We start from the raw sequence: 16041 nt of genomic DNA on the forward strand, positions 1-16041 counted from the left end.
ATTAGTTTGGCAAAATCCACAGACATTTATTTCCCACTGGCACTGGCTACACTGAACGTTTACCAAAGTCATTTCATTTTTAATGAGATTCTTTTGGCCTTGCTGTTTAAGCGCCAGAAAGTGCCAGAGGGTAAAGCTATACAGTAGGTTGAATAGTGTCTGACTCTGTCCAAAGACCCAGTTAGGAGAGTTTAGTCAGGGAGAAATTTTGTCCTAGATTAGTTGTTAATGTCCATGTAAAACCATAGAGTAATTGCGCATTTTAAAATTTACTTTGCTATAAGGCACTTGGTTTAAAATGTTTTTGGGAGTTCTGCCTTTATATTTCTAACAACGAAGTAACAAAAAAAAATCCAGATATCATCTGGTCTAAACCTATATTTAGGTTGAATGTGAAATAATCTAAGACAGATGGTGATCTGTGTTATTTTGGTAGAGTTTACTTCTTTGGCTTTAATTTTCACTGGCAGGTGGATTCAAAATTCAATCACAATAAAGTTATTAATTTTAGATGTATTTTAAATAGAATGACTCCCACTATTTTCTCCTAGCATTATAATTTATGTTTTATATTCATTATCATGGTTTATACATTTGGGCAAATCTCAATTTTCTGAATCTTGGTTCCATCTTTTAGAAAAAGATGGAGGTTTGTTGGGGAAGCTTAATGGTCAAAGTTGTGGATATAATAATAAACCAGATATAGGCTTAATTATGCCTATCTTTATTTACAGAAATTGAAACAATTTTGAACCAACACTCAAAAATCATGAGATTTTAGTTCAAAATCTGAATTCCCAGGTTCGTCTGGAAAATTGGAAAAGCTACAGATTAGAAGGCAACATTCTCACACAGTAATAATCATCTAGAGCCGATCACTGGCTGCTTGCTAGTTGGTCAGTTTCTATGACTTCCTCTTGCCTCTTCTCTCTGACACTGAAACTAAAGAAAATTTCTAAAGGCTACTTTAAAGTTCATATGGAACCAAAAAAGAGCCTGCATTGCCAAGTCAATCCTAAGCCAAAAGAACAAAGCTGGAGGCATCATGCTACCTGACTTCAAACTATGCTACAAGGCTACAGTAACCAAAACAGAATGGTACTGGTAGCAAAACAGAGATACAGACCAATGGAACAGAACAGAGCCCTCAGAAATAATGCCACATATCTACAACTATCTGATCTTTGACAAACCTGACTAAAACAAGAAATGGGGAAATGATTCCCTATTTAATAAATGGTGCTGGGAAAACTGGCTAGCCATATGTAGAAAGCTGACACTGGATCCCTTCCTTACACCTTATACAAAAATTAATTCAAGATGGATTAAAGACTTAAATGTTAGACCTAAAACCATAAAAACCCTAGAAGAAATCCTAGGCATTACCATTCAGGACATACGCATGGGCAAGGACTTCATGTCTAAAACACCAAAAGCAATGACAACAAAAGCCAAAGTTGACAAATGGGATCTAATTAAACTGAAGAGCTTCTGCACAGCAAAAGAAACTACCATCAGAGTGAACAGGCAACCTACAGAATGGGAGAAAATTTTTGCAATCTACTCATCTGACAAAGAGCTAATATCCAGAATCTACAATGAACTCAAACAAATTTACAAGAAAAAACCAACCCCATCAACAAGTGGGTGAAGGATATGAACAGACACTTCTCAAAAGAAGACATTTATGCAGCCAACAGACACATGAAAAAATGCTCATCATCACTGGCCATCAGAGAAATGCAAATCAAAACCACAATGAGATACCATCTCACACCAGTTAGAATGGTGATCATTAAAAAGTCAGGAAACAACAGGTGCTGGAGAGGATGTGGAGAAATAGGAACACTTTTACACTGTTGGTGGGACTGTAAACTAGTTCAACCATTGTGGAAGTCAGTGTGGCGATTCCTCAGGGATGTAGAACTAGAAACACCATTTGACCCAGCCATCCCATTACTGGGTATATACCCAAAGGATTATAAATCATGCTGCTATAAAGACACACACACACGTATGTTTATTGAGGCACTATTCACAATAGCAAAGACTTGGAACCAACCCAAATGTCCAACGATAGACTGGATTAAGAAAATGTGGCACATATACACCATGGAATACTATGCAGCCATAAAAAATGATGAGTTCATGTCCTTTGTAGGGACATGGATGAAGCTGGAAACCATCATGCTCAGCAAACTATCACAAGGACAAAAAACCAAACACCGCATGTTCTCACTCATAGGTGGGAATTGAACAATGAGATCACATGGACACAGGAAGGGGAACATCACACATGGGGTCCGTCGTGGGGTGGGGTGGGGGGCAGGAGGGATAGCATTAGGAGATATACCTAATGTTAAATGACGAGTTAATGGGTGCAGCACACCAACATGGCACATGTATATATATGTAACAAACCTGCACATTGTGCACATGTACCCTAAAACTTAAAGTATAATAAAAAAAGATCATTTTTTCAACAAATGGTGCTGGAGCAACTGAACATCCACAAGCAAAGAATAAAAAGGTTCTAAACACAGACCTTACACTTTCACAAACATCAACTCAAAATGGATCACAAACATATACGCAAAATGCAAAACTACAAAACTAGAAGACAACATAGGAGAAACTGAAGGTAACTTTGGTGATGACCTTTCTTTAAATCACATTTTATCACAGTTTATTTGTAGAAGCAATTAGAAATCAAAATACTGAAAAATGCTTTGCTATACATAAAAAATTCCTATTTTTTTTAATTACAAGGTGATGCCTGTGCATGGATAAGGCAATTTTTTTCTTACAATTTCTAAATATGAAGATAACTGGATTAAAACTATTAAAAATGGAATATTGGTTTCTTTCAGGCATTATTGGTTAAATTAGTGAAATTCAAAGTGGAAAAATATGCTAGACATCTATTAAAATAGTCATTTCAGCTATGGTAGCTAATTACTCTTTTAGTAGGCATTTTAAGAGTCTTTCATAATGTATAGAAATTGAATGGCTATTAAATCATTTATTCATTTTTTTTAAAAGACAATTTCTTTTGTCATTGTGCTTTAAATTTTTTTCAAGTAGATACTATTTTTCTGTGTGTCTCTAACAGGAAGCTTATAAAAGTTAAACCAAGAAGGATAAGCATTCATGGAAAATTAAAAGACCCTATTATTTAATAGAACTTAATAATATTCTTATCTGTTTAATATGCAAACATAGTGTATCTATGTAAAAAGACTGCAATTTAAAGCCCCAATTCAAACAAACCATAGTAACGGAGATGAACTACATTCAAAAAGATATATCATGAAAAACTTAATGAACTCAAAGGAAAAGGCTGACATTTCAGGAGGGTTTATTTTGAAATGCAAATAAGCACAAGCACTGCTGCTCTGAAAAGCAATTATATCACAAATGAATAATGAATTGTCATACATCAATACTTTTTTAAATGGTAATTTTTAGAGCTGTTCTTATTAAATGAAGAAAAATTGCACATAGAAAAGTAACACATGGCAAATACAAGGGTAACTGAAATAACTGTTGCCCAGAAATTTGGAAACATGGATGAATACACCAAGTTCATATTAAGTTAAAAAAAAAGAAGTAACTGATTTTTACTGTTTTTATTCTCTGCTGATGTCTTACACATTTATGATACATCATCAGTGGAATTATGATGTCTCAAGATACTTGTGAACATGAGGTGTATGACTAAGACAAATTCATAAAATGATTTTGTGTGTGCGTGCACATGAGTGTGTTGTATAATTGCCGGAGTGTTTAACATAAAATTGTCAAGATTAATGACTAAAGGCAGTGTTTTGAAGATGTTCAGTTAATTTTGGACTTAATACGATTCTTAAATCCTATTTGGAAATGTTTAGCAATGACAGAATAGCTACTCTCATTCAGCTCATCATTCGCCATGAATTACTTTACTTAAGAAGTTAAGCTGGAAATCATGCTGGTGTCAATGATTAAGCCAGACATTTGTGTACATTCCCATAGCATCAATGATCATCTTCTGAACTCTCTGGAAGAAGGATGATTTGTCACTTGATATTGAACAGATTCTTTGAAATGTAAAATGTAGTGTTTATTTCATCTAAGATAAAAAAATTAATCTTAGCTCACAAGCAAAGACGGAATCAATGATAGTCTTTTCATCATCTAAATGCCTTATAGGATGCCATCTCAATGCCTTAAAGGATACTTTCCAGTTACAAGTAGTAACTGGAAAGTATGACTTGCTTACCTGATTTCTCATGAAATTATGCCTTTGGTAAGCTCCTTGGTCAAGGATTAACCTGGCAAATACTTCTTGGCAGAAATCACCCTGTGGAGCTTAATAGGATTGCATGAATGGCATGTCTAATATCATAGAGTTAAGAAATAAAATGTTAAGAAAAGTCTCAGGATTAAAACTTTCTGACAATGACCTCACATTGTTAAATCACATAATATGACTAGGTAAGTCAAGAGCCAGAATCAGAAGATACTTTACGCTGGCACAGTCCAATTCCAAAAATTAAATGTAACTTTTACTTAACTTAAATGTAAATGTAGCTTTGTGACTATTTTTTTCCAGTTATAAACTGAATAAAAGTAAGCAATGCTGCTAGTTAAGAGATTGAAAACAGAATTCTGTATACTGTGAAAGCACACCATAATGCAATGCATAAGAGCTGGCATCTTGGTGTAGGACATGTCAGGTTTATTTTTCCAAATCAAAGAAATTAACAATGTTGGAAGATATTTCTATTTTCATTTTTTGAGTTTTCAATTTCAGCTTTTAAATATCTCCAATAACATACTTACTCTTGTGGCAATATACTTATATTTCAGTACTAACAGTTCATACATCTTTCTGAGAGTTGACAATGTTTACAGCTCATCAATTGCATTCATTTATATTACATGCTTTATCCATTAACGCAATACTTGTCTTTAGCTCTAAAGATGTCTGAGTCAGTATCTCTTAGGCTAATGACAAGAGAAAAATTTGGAGAAAATCTAACTCATCCTAAACATAAGATGTCTATCCTGTATTTTAAAGTCCCCAGAAATGGGCTTTAATGGTGCTGTCAGAAACTTGTTAATTTTGATTTTCAAATGTGTTTATGTATGTGCATTTTCAATATGTACATATGTATGTATATCGTATATCTTAGCTTGTTGAACATCTATATCTTTAATCATTTATGCTCCATTGAAATGATATAGATATGATCCTGTACGCTATGCTAAAACCATAGTCTAAGAGAAATGTATATAAAAGGCAAGGGCCAACTTTCCACTAAAATTGCCATTTACTAGGTCAGGATATGTACACTTATTTGGAAGAAGACACAGCCACATGGAAAGAAAGGTTATGAAGTTCTATTTCTTATAATTATTTAAACGAGTCTGAGATTATAATATTTCTCATATGTAGAAATGATTTAATATTCACTTAGACTTCTCTCAATGTATGGAACACATTTGAATATAACATTCGTTTAATTAAACTATTTATTTAGAGTTTCCTTGAATGACTTTCTCTACAACCTGACTTCAACAGATAATTGACAATTCTACACATCCTTTTATAAAACTGACTCCTAAATACAATTAATTAGTAAGCTTTGAAAAACTCCCACATCTCAAGGATGTTTTATAAAAAGACAAAGTTAATGATTTCAAATCTTAATTTATATTAAATCAAACTATTCCCACCATCTGCAGAAAGAACTATCTTGCTTTAAAAATTGGAGAAACAGAAAATATAGCCACTCAATAACCACTGCATCACTAACCTTTATGGTATATGACCTATGGTGCCATTTAGGGTCATGATCCCTTCTTTCATTCTTAGATAATATATCCATTGCTCCTATATGTAGAAGGAACTATTTAGAGGCAAATGCTATTCAAGTACTGTTCCACAGAAATAGAAAGGTACAATGTCATGGTGTTTGGAAGTGAACTGATGATGCATTGCACTAGCATATAGAGACATTGTTCCCATAAAACTTGTAACATTATAGTTCAGGGACTATTTAACCTTTAATACAAATCATTTTTATTGTCCCAATAGAACTCGCAACACTTTATTCTTTGCATTTCTCTTCAGCACTGTGTACCAACTACATTATTATTTTGTCAGGGTGGAAAGAAAAGACATGTTAAGTCTAATCCATGTGCAAACACATCTGAAGAATATTTAGGAAGGTACACATCTCCATCAAATATAGAACATGAAGACTCAAAATTTGTCACTGATGACAGAATATTTCTGAAATAAAATGATCTTCCAGACTTTCCTTTATTTTCAGAATTACGTACAGTTTTCCGCTTTCTTTTACATGCTATCAGTGATGTGCTTTCAAATAATTCTAATAAAACAATTCTGCAACATTGAATAGGGAAAATGCCAGAATAAAGCTTACTGCCGCCAGTGTGTTTATTTTTCGTACTGTCTATTTGCTATTATTTATTTCTAAGTTTATCTGGCAGAACTCATCAGAAAAAACATAAAGTCAATTTATTTCTAAATTTTAAAAATCTTTTTTTGATAGGGACTTAAGTTCATTTACATTAGAATGTATCTTCTGAGGAAATTGGTTCTTCATCTTTTGCTAGTTTGTTTTGTCTTGCAATCACGTTCCTTACTCTTTTCTTTTTTACAGTTTGCCAAAGACAAAATTTTCAAGGGGCATAGTATAGGGAAAAGGGGAAACAAAAAGAAATACAATATAACTAAATTAAGTGCTTTAAATTCCAGTGGGAAAATAAAAATGATTTGTGTTAAAGGTTAAATAGTCCCTAAACCATAATGTTACAAGTGTTACAGGAATGATGTTTCTATATTCTTGTGCAATGCACCATCAATCTACAGCCAAATACCACTGACATTGTATTTTCTTTTTTTATCTCTGCAGAACATTTGGATACCACTTACCTCTGAGACAGTTCTTTTGGAAATTATAAATATATTTCTTTCCGGGGATCAAAAGAATCCACATCAACATGAAAGATGAAGTGTTGAATCTGAATTCACAGCTGCTTTATGCAATCTGGAAAAAGTACGGGATTTCTCATTTTAGTTCAGTTCTCAAAGCTTTGTAGATAGAGGCCTGAAATGAAATATTTGAATTTTTAAAAATATTCTTCTTGTCTGGCTGTGTAAATGATTGCAATCAATCAGATTTTCTTTGTTCAAGAAAAAAAACATGAAATTACAATATGAATATTTTTCACATGTAATTTTAGTTATACAGTGGGCAATGACTGACAGCTTAACAATGTCCCACTGTGGCAAGAGTAATGTGTTATTTTGGGAAAAATATTTTTACTTAAGAAAAGTTAACTTGCAATAAGTTGATTTTAAAAGTCTCCTTGGAAAATAATTTTGAAGGTCACAAAAGTATATTTGGAGTCTATTATTTTACAATTTTATAAACTAATTTTAAAAAATGTATTAAGACCTTACCTGTTACAAAAACAGAAATCTGCAGCAAAAATAAAATGATCTATTTCATGGTTGTTTATAATATACAAACATTTCAGAGAAGTATCATTGCCTATTTCAAAAGTGTTACATTAATTACAAAACAAATTTTAAATATTGGAAAAATTATATTACAAAAATAAATTCCAATGGCAGGATAGATTATTATAATCAAATGGATGCATTTTTTGCCATTTTGAAAGAAAAGCTATGTTCACTGGACGTTTTATAATTACACTGTTTCAACAAATCAAAACTAAATATTTTGTGATTTTGCTTGAAGATTCCAAAATGAGTTCAATTTTAAACTGTAAATATACAATATTTAATATAATTTCCCCCTTTGAGTGGGAGATTTTACTGTAAAATTTGTTTTATCCATAAAACAAATTTAGTATAAATATTGTTGTAATCAAATATTATACAGAGTTTGAGAGTGATGTCCACAAAATGGTAAATAAAATAGAAGATCTCCTGCCATCACTCCTTTCAAAAGAGTACAACAGGAAACTATTCAAACCAAAATTCAAGGAAGTAGTGGAGAAATCCCTGGGTCCATGTGGAGTTTAGACTTTAGACTTTATCTTACATGCAATGGGAAGCTATTTACAGGTTTTAAGCAAATGATTATGTCTGTGTTTTAAAGGTATTATATTCTAGATGCTTCATGGAATTACGTCATTTATACTTTATAAATCTATAATGTGTAACTGATTAAAAACAAGCTTGGAAACATAAACTCAAGTTAGAAAATATGGGTTTGACATAAAACCTTAAATATGTTTCATTTGTTTGCTTGTTTGGCTTGTTTGTTTCTAACACAGGTTTAACCTACATGTGAGTCACCTTTGGATTGATGAGTCTAGAGTTTGAAACAGACAATCTGGGTACATATATTTAGAGAAGGTCAGTCCGCAAATGATGCTTAATGATCCCTGGGTGATGATCACCTTAAGGAGAAAGTGCATGGAAAGAAAGGTCCACACATACTCTGAAAAACTTAAAAATGGTCACATAAGAGGAGCAAGACTGAGACTCACATTTTCTCTACCTTGAAAGGGACAGAAATAGCCATATACATAGGAATAAATCATGTTTCTTATAATTATTTATGGAGTCCAAGGATAGAAAGGATTTGCCAGGTAACCATTTAGTGTTTGCTGAATTTATAATGTGTGAAATTGACAGAAGCCTGAGCTGCAGGGGAAAACCTGGAGAGTGAGAATAAGGGTCTTAAGAAGTAGTGGTTGTCTTGGTCAATGTTGAAAGGTCAAAAAAGTGAGAACTACAATTGGTCATTTGGATTTGGCTACATAGTCACTAGTGACTTCTGTAAAGAGCAGTTTCGGTGGAGTGTGGGGATAGGAGACCTACTGAAAATGCACCAGAGAATGAATAGGAGGTAGGGGAAGGGAAATAGCCTGTGTGGGAACAAACAAAACAAACAAAAATGTTTTTAACAACCGCCCTTGTTTGATCCTTCATCCTTGCGAATTAAAACCCAAAGGAGAAGGTCTTACATGAGATCACTGCACTCATACAAAATGTAAATCAAAGGAAACTATGAATGACTCAAAGCCAGGAGTTCTAGCAAACACATTATTTAGGTGGCAGGATCGTGATGTAAAATGGTCCCAATAGGTTGGAAAGATACAAATATAGGTTAGCGTTTTTTCATGTCAATTTTCCAAATTCACCAATGACGCTCCCTGCTATTATTTTGGGTATATCAAGGATTCTAAATAAAAACATTCAAAAATCTATCTTCACAATTTTTGGTCTTCTTCTGAACTCTGAAAATTTATCTTTATTCCACTTAACATCCTTTCATAGCGTCAACAGTAGTAATAATGGTTGCCAGTTCTAGATTTCTACCATTTACCAACAATAATCCAATTGGTTTATTAATTTAATCCTCATGGCATAAATTGAGGTTTAGATCATTTGTGCAGATAATAAATTGCTTAAGCAATTTATTTAATTGTTTTTACATAGAATTAAATTAGTTTTTACCTAGAATGTTTCACTTCTAAAACCCACAAATTCTTAAATTTGGATCAATTCTCAATACTGCTTCTTCATATGCCAGGCTGCTGAGTACAACAGAGAAAATCACACAGCTGGCTAGATGAATATCTAATTTATCGTATATATTTATACTACAATGTATTCTCAGAAATTTCATCTGGGTTCTTTCTTTTTTTGGTCACTTTCTCATTTCTGCTCTGCCATGACTCAAAAACTTCTCTGTTCAAATATCTTACCCAATATCCATTATAATCTTCATTGTCAAGAACCTCATATCCTATTTTACAGAGAGATTTGAGGCCAGCAGATTTAAACTTGCTTTAATACCTATCTTTATAAACAAATGTATTTTTTTTCCTACATTCATTTTTCTCTTCTTCGTTCCAGGCTCAAAGAGAAAATGGCCCCATTCAGAGTTTAAGGTTATTCTTTCTGTAATTTCCATCTGAAATATACTTCTTTAGATCTATTCTTCACTGAGAAACTACAATTTGTGCTTCAAAGCCCTGCTTACATTTTCCTTTTGTGAAACAGTTTCTGACACAGGAATTTTCTGCACGCTCCCCAAACACAGTCAGTAATTTTTCTACAATGCTAAGGCTATACCTATACACACATTCATCGTACTTATCAATGCATGGTTTATGAGGTGGGTGGCAAACATGGTTGAATATTAGGAAAAAAAGTTTCCCAACCCCCTTTGCCACATACTATGATTCTATAGGACTGAGCCAGAGCTTAGAAATTGATGATTCATAAATATTGCTATGTGATGATAATGATCATCCTGGGTTGGAAACCACTGAATCATAGGCCTCAGGTCAGGGAAACAGCTTTAATTTCAGCTCCGAAACTTAATAGAAGAATGGTTTTCCACAAACTTCTCAAATATCTGACTCCCAGCAATAAATCTTTTCTCTGTTTTCAAACTATGTTGGGATTTCTACCACGTCTTCCCATTTCTATCAGTATCCCCAGCCATCATCATCTCTCTCATCTGGCCTAATGCAACCTCCTGACTGATCTCTGATTCACACTTGCTTCATCTATTATATTTTCTCCGTGTAGAACTGAGAGACTCCTTTATGGAAAAGTAATATAATGCCACTTCTCTCCTTAAAAATCTTCCAGGGACTTCCTTTGACATGCAGAATCTAATCCAAATTCTTCACAATAGCCTATATGAAAGTATAACTTGCTGTTACAAATTTCCCTTTTCCAATTCCTGTTATTCCTTTGATTTCTCCTACTTCCTTTTCACTTGTTTATTTCAACTCAGCCATGCTGGGCTCCTTAATGTTCCTTAGCTACACTAGACATGCTCAGGCCTCAGAGTCCTTGGATTTAATATTGTTTCTGTGTAGACTGTTTCCCTGCAGATATTCATATGACTCTCTTCTTCCCTTTATTCAGATTTCTTATCAAAATCACCTCCTCTGAGAAGTATTCCTGGCAAAAGAGTATGCACACATTGCATTCACTCTTACTCATCACCGCAAATCACTTATTAATTTTTAAAAAAAATTTGTTTTTGTCAATTTCCCTGACAAGACAGGAAAACACGACATGAATTGAAGAGGCCAGAGAATTCTGGGCAAGGGATGCATGAATGGTTCTTGGTGGTGGATGAGGAAACATTGGGGAAGAGATAGCAAGTGATTATATTCCATCCTGACCAATAGGGTCACTCACAGTGGTGCTGAGACCTTAGCAGCCAAAAGCTCAGAAATAGGATCTGATTTCTTAGTGCCTGTGGAAGACATCAAACCAGGAAAAGTGATGCAATCTTCTCAGTAAGGAGACTGCAATATTTGTTCTTCCCTAATTTTATTTGCAAAATGTTCAATCACAGTTTTACTTCTGTGAGAACAACTCTTTCTTACTGGGACTAACACAAACAAAACTTTTTTCTTTTTTCTTTTTTTTTTTTTTTTTTTTTTTAGATGGGGTCTCGCTCTTTCACCCATGGCACAATCTTAGCTCACTGCAACCTCCACCTCCTGGGTTCAAGCAATTCTCATACCTCAGCCTCCCGCGTAGCTGGGATTACAGGTGCCTGCCACCACGCCTGGCTAATTTAAAACTTTTTTCTATATTTAAATTTTTTTCTGTATAGTCTGGTTTCTATTTAACAAGCACTGTAATTAGATGGGGCAAAATTTGTTTAGTGTGATCTGGTCATAGTTAACTGGTGATATTATGGTGAAAAGCTGTATCATATTTTTCCAATTCCATTTCTAGTCTCTAAAACCATTTCTTCCTCACACACTGTGTTTTGAAGACAGAAGTTAAGTGTTTTTGAGTCTGGTTCCAGGAAGCCTAAAATAACATACCAATTATTTTGATTAAAGAAAAAGGTTGTGGGTCATTTTCCTCATTAGACTATGTCAGTTATGGTATTGCTGAACATCTATTATTTTTTCTCCCAAATAAAAATGGGCTCTATATAATTTTATTTTAGTGTTGAATGGAAAAAGTGTGGTCCAGAAGCCTTGTTATTAGTTTTCCTTTGTAAAATGTCTCTCAGTTAATTAGAATCGTATCCATTTATAAATATTTCATTGCAAATTTATTAAATAAGCTTTAAGCCTTGTCACAGAGGTGGATGGTGATTGTCTAATTTAAGCCTGAATTTTTGTCTGTAACACTGCCTTTGTCTGGTGACAAAATTTTGTATGAGCTTAGTGAAAGTGGGTTTAGCTTATTCTATTGTCCTTTTGTTGCATTGCCATGACAATGTTTCATACAGACCTATATTCTCTTTTACTTCACTCTTTACCACTTTATTATCTGTTCTACCTTTAAATGACTTCTGCATTAATTTACACAGTAATCCATTGTGCATTGGTGTATGCCACCAAAAAACTAAAAGCATCTAAAAATATGATTACTGTATATTCATTGGTCATTCATTTGCTTTCAATGTAGAAGATTTAGGTGAGGTTCATAAGAACTGGAAGATTTATCAGCTGTTTCAAAAAAAGTCTATAATAAGTGTGCCAAGAGACATTACCTCATAGAAATAAACCCATGAATGTTTGATGTCCCCTCCAGTTTACTCCTGTACTTTAAAACACATCATAATGCACGTTTTTCAAGTTTTATTAAAGTGAGCATTTTTCTATCTATTCAAAATATCATATTCAGCATAGTGATTATAGGAAAATCCTTTGGATAAGGCAAATGACTCTGGATTCTTTCTAGTCCTGGCTACAACTGAATTTAATAGGACCTTATTAAAGTCAGTTTAACTCAAAGGGTCTCAGTTAAGTATTCTCGTCATTTTCTTTCTTTCTTTCTTTCTTTTTTAATACAGGGTCAAGCTGGAGTGCAGTGGCCCAATCCTGGCTCACTGCAACCTCTGCCTCCTGGGCTCAAGGCATCCTTCCACCTCAGCCTCCCAAGTAGCTGGGACTACAGGTATAAGCTACCACATCTGGCTAATTTTTGTCTTTTTAGTAGAGAAAGGGTTTTTCCATATTGCCCACGGCATTCTTGAACTCCTGAGCTCAAGCAATCCACCCACCTTGCCTTCCCAAAGTGCTGGGATTACAGGTGTGAGCCACCACGCCTGGCCAGTATTCATTTTTTTATGAGGGAGTGAGGGGTCAGTTTTCTGACCCATGAAAGCAGATATTGAGAGTTTAAGCATTTTTAAATTTAAAATAAAGTTTTATATAAGATCGCTTTTTGTTAGTAACTTAATTGCTCCTTGGATGCTGTAGATCAAAATTTTAAAGACCGTTAAGATACAACTTTATATACACCACGTGCCTCATTAGATGATTTGGTCAATGAGAGCCCACCTATACAACAATGATCCCATAAGATTATAATACTATATGTTTTCTGTACCTTTTCTATGTTTAGATACATAAGTACTTACCACTGTGTTACAATTGCCTACAGGATTCAGTAGAGTTCATGCTGTATAGGCTTGTAGCCTGGAAGCAATAAGCTATACCATATAGCCTAGGTGTGTAGTAGGCTATACCATCTAGGTTTGAGTAAGTACATTCTATGATGTTCCCACATTGACAAACTCTCCTAACAATGAATTTTTCAGAATATATCTCCATCAAGGAGAGACATGACTGTACTGCCTTTTGTTTGTACCACTGTGTTCTTATTCAAAGAAAAATATGCACATTACACACAACTTTAAACTTATTCACACTCATATTAGCAATCAAGAATGCAGGAATGTACAGTACATGCACGAACTGTGCCTTGACCATTTGCTGACCTGATACATGACTTAATGTATTTGATCTCACTTGAGGAAATCGAGTTTGGAAAAGAAAATGTGCATTTAACGTAAGTAAAATTATATTGAATGTTTCTTCCTAGTTTAAAATAATTTTTCAGTAAAACAGGATCTCTTAAAATTATTTCTCATTAAACATTGAGCTATTTTTCTTTTATTAGAAATTACCTATCAAAATAGTGGCTGTCTCTCTTAATTAAAAGTGGATTGGTATAATGATATACTATTGGATCTGTACCCTTTCTATTCTGTTTTTTTATTCTAATTTATAGAGTAATCACAACTATGATATCAGGAATAAAAATGTCCTCAAGAACAGGTGCCTAATTGGGAGAGAATTTGACACTTCCCATTTCCATTTTAGGAGTTAAAAAAATCTACACGTTAAGTTATTTTTATAGTTAAGAAGTTTAAGTTTGTTTAAAATACCACAAAGTATAAAACGTGATCTGAATATTGTTAAAAGGTCATGCAAATTAGAACCATGCTTATTCAATTTGAATCAAAGTATATTTAAGCCATTTTTCATAAAATTATTGAGATTATTAATATTTAATAACCTAAATCATTTTTATAAAGTGATAATAAAACAGATTATCCTAAGAGATTGTTTTTGTTATGGCTGCATCAAAAGAAGCTAAAGTGCATTGTGGCAGGAAGGACTAGTGTCATTTATAGTGACATTCAAGTAATCTGGGTGTGATAGATGCTTGACTGCTAAATTTATGCTAGGATTAGCACCATTTATCTGCTCTTAGTGTGTTAAATACTCAATGAAATATGTATTTATGAAAGTAATTCAGTGTTTTTCAAATTTCATGACGCTTTTAATAAAGCTGTTAAATTAACAGCTTTATGGGGTTATAATTGATATACAAAGAACTGCACATATTCAATATGTACAATTTGATGAGTTTGAACATACACAAACACCCATCATATCATCACCGCAATCAAGGTAATCAACATATCCAGCACATTTTAATAGTACCATAAAGACTTCTCCGCCTTTTAAGAGTCCTGGTAGTCTCAGTGAAACAAAATCTCTTGATTTTCAACATTCCTCTAATTTATCAGTTCTTTCCAACTGGGATTTACCAAGCAATGTCATTTTGTGTTGAATTACCATGAGTTTTTAAAAGATGCTAAAAGAAATAAAGTATGTTAGAATTTCATTGCCAATCAAGATTTTGATATGCGATCTGAATTTTTAGACCAGTGGTTCTAAGGTTGGTGAGGGAGAGGGGAAGTTGTACTGTGTGGGAGACAGTTGGCAACGTCTGGCAATATTTTAATTGTCACAATTGCAGACTGGTGCCAGAATCTAGTATGTAAAGGCCAGGGATACTGCTACATGCCCTACAAGGCACAGGGCAGTCTTGTAGTATCTGGCTTACAATGTCAGCAGTGCTGAGGTACAGAAACACTGATTTAGATTAATCATTGTACTCAAAAGTATAGAGTGAGCAAAATGTGTTGTTTGCCTTGTGAAATTTGGAGAAAAAAAACAAAGCTCTATCCAACCATTCTACATTTCTGACATCTGTGTTACATATGATTGGAAATTCTCTTTCTTCTAAATACCCATTGTGTGCTTCAGTGACTGCTGGGATACGAGCCACTTGTTCCTACAGTAATTGTCACAGGATAGCTGCCAGATGGTAATACTGAGAAGCACAACATGAAAAAAAAGTGTGTTTTTTTTCTCATTTCATTCTATCTTCATAGGCTAAATAAGTTAGTCTAATGTTTGTTCTACCCTACTTTAAGCAGAAGACATAATTCCTTCTTGCAAATGGCGCCTAAATGGTGAACAGACATGTCATGTGAGATTCTTTTAATAGATCTGCTTATTATTTGCCCTTATGGACCATTTGACATTATTCAAAGAGGAAAGATTTTTTTTTTTTTTTTTTTTTTTTGCCACTAAAAGAGAATCTGGGTAGGCCTATGACTCTTCTGTTCACTCTTGGAGAGTGCTGTGATAACTTTAAGTCATACATGCTATTAGAATGCCCTGACTTCATAATATGTATAGCTATGCATTTGATTTAAATCTTCACCGTGACATGTAAGACTGGCTTCAGGAAGGCTGTTGCCTGCAAATAGGCGTGACCAGCTTGTTCTCTCTTTTCCATTTGACTTTTTGCAAAGCCTCTCAAATTGAAACAGAGAGAGGGGCATGGTCAGGGGGTAGACTTTTACTTAGAGGTGCTGCTCTAGAATGGGTCTGCATTCACTATGTCTGGCA

The 16041-nt window shown here is 33.9% G+C and overlaps 1 long non-coding RNA gene across 1 annotated transcript in view; it reads left to right on the forward strand.

Annotated features, from left to right (window-relative positions):
* LINC01098 (long intergenic non-protein coding RNA 1098) overlaps positions 1-16041 on the forward strand; it is a 261994-nt gene that overhangs the window by 225079 nt on the left and 20874 nt on the right. Inside the window, 2 exon segments of the long non-coding RNA NR_028342.1 lie at positions 6927-7070; positions 12840-12943. This is a non-coding gene — a long non-coding RNA (long intergenic non-protein coding RNA 1098).

The sequence above is a fragment of the Homo sapiens genome, chromosome 4, assembly GCF_000001405.40.
Source record: "Homo sapiens chromosome 4, GRCh38.p14 Primary Assembly".
Lineage (NCBI taxonomy): Eukaryota > Metazoa > Chordata > Mammalia > Primates > Hominidae > Homo > Homo sapiens.